Raw genomic sequence first — 1408 nt, 5'->3', positions numbered from 1 at the left:
CGGGAGCGGCGAGCCGCCGTCTCCTCCCTTCGGGGTGGCGGTCCCGGGGCTGCCGGGCTGCGGGTCGGCCACATTCCTGCCTTTGCCGGGCGGGGGGGGCGCCTGGAGGGAACCCCGGCCCGACACCCCGCGGCTTTGGGCTCCCACGGGGCCGCGCGCCTCTTCCCAGCCGGGCCCCCCATCCCGGGGCAGAGGGCCCAGAGCCTTCCTCGACCTTGGGAGAAAGGTCCCTCCCCAGCCTGCGGCCTCCCGGGGCCCCCTCTTGGCCTGAACACCGGGAACCCGGTGTCCCTCACATGACGGGTGGGAGGCCTTTGGGTGGGTGGAAACTTTCACGGAGTAATCCTCTTGCTTTACTTTAAAATGTTCATTTAAAGAAAAGACTCCACCGAATCTTTTGCCCTGGGACTCGCTCGGATGTTGGTGTTTGCTGCCTTTACTTAGAACTCTGGGGAAGCCACATCCTGCCCGCGGTCTCAGAAAAGCTGGAGCGGGGCCGCAGCCCGGCCCTGCCCCCCGGCATGGGGACTTCCTCCCCCCGGTGAAGGCGGCCGCTGCCGTCCCTAGGGATCCCCACGAGAGGTTCCTGGGGACCCCCACGGGAGCCCCGGCGGTGCTGGTGGTCTCGCCCCTCCCACCCTGTCTCTCGGTGGGCATCAGGGCAGTTTCCTCATCGCCATCCCAAGGCGGGGCTGGCTTCAACTTGGCCTTCAGCGCCCTCCCGTCCGGCCCCATCTGGCCTCGTCGTCCACCTGCCCTGGCCACAGGCCGGACACATGCACCACACCAGCGCTTCTGCTGCCGCCCTCCACCCGCGTGCCCAGGGCCTCTTACCTCTCCCAGGAGGCGTCCTGCTGGCCCCTCAATGCCCAGCTCATGTCACCTCCTCTGGGAGGCCTTCCTTGATGCTTCCCAGGGGCCAGAGTCCACGACGACATCCCCATTCCTGTGGCCCTTCGTTCATGTGTCTGTTATGACCTCCGCTGCCTCACATCACCCCAGCCCCAGCCTGGAGCGAGGGYCGTGCTCAGGGAGGGTCTGTCGGGTGGGCAGGGATGGAAAAGCAGAGAAGGCGACAGAACCGAGTGCTCCTGCCGATGCCTGGAGGAAGGCGGTAGGGGGTTCAGAGATCACCCACCTTCCCATGAGGTGCCCCCTTCTGTTGGGCAGGGTCTGGCAGCCAGAGAGTGGGGGCAGAGCAGGGCCTACTGTCACTATTTGGAGGCTGTTTGCAGAAGCCAATGCCCACACCTTATGTGCCCTCCCCCCCACACCTTAGGTACCCCCCCAACACACACACACCTTATGTACCCCCCAACACACACACACACACCTTATATACCCCCAACACACACAAACACACACACACACCTTATATACCCCCAACACACACAAACACACACACACA

At 64.7% G+C, this 1408-nt stretch overlaps 1 annotated feature.

Annotated features, from left to right (window-relative positions):
* Positions 92–201: a silencer, noted in NCBI's record as "silent region_7939". NCBI's record gives its function as "represses an Ori minimal core promoter by ATAC-STARR-seq in GM12878 lymphoblastoid cells {active_cell/tissue: GM12878}" and the evidence as "EXISTENCE:reporter gene assay evidence [ECO:0000049][PMID:35858748]".

Source organism: Homo sapiens, chromosome 17 (assembly GCF_000001405.40).
Source record: "Homo sapiens chromosome 17, GRCh38.p14 Primary Assembly".
Taxonomy (NCBI): domain Eukaryota; kingdom Metazoa; phylum Chordata; class Mammalia; order Primates; family Hominidae; genus Homo; species Homo sapiens.
The sequence above is the reverse complement of the archived record's forward strand: the minus strand, read 5'-3'. Positions and strand labels throughout refer to the sequence as shown.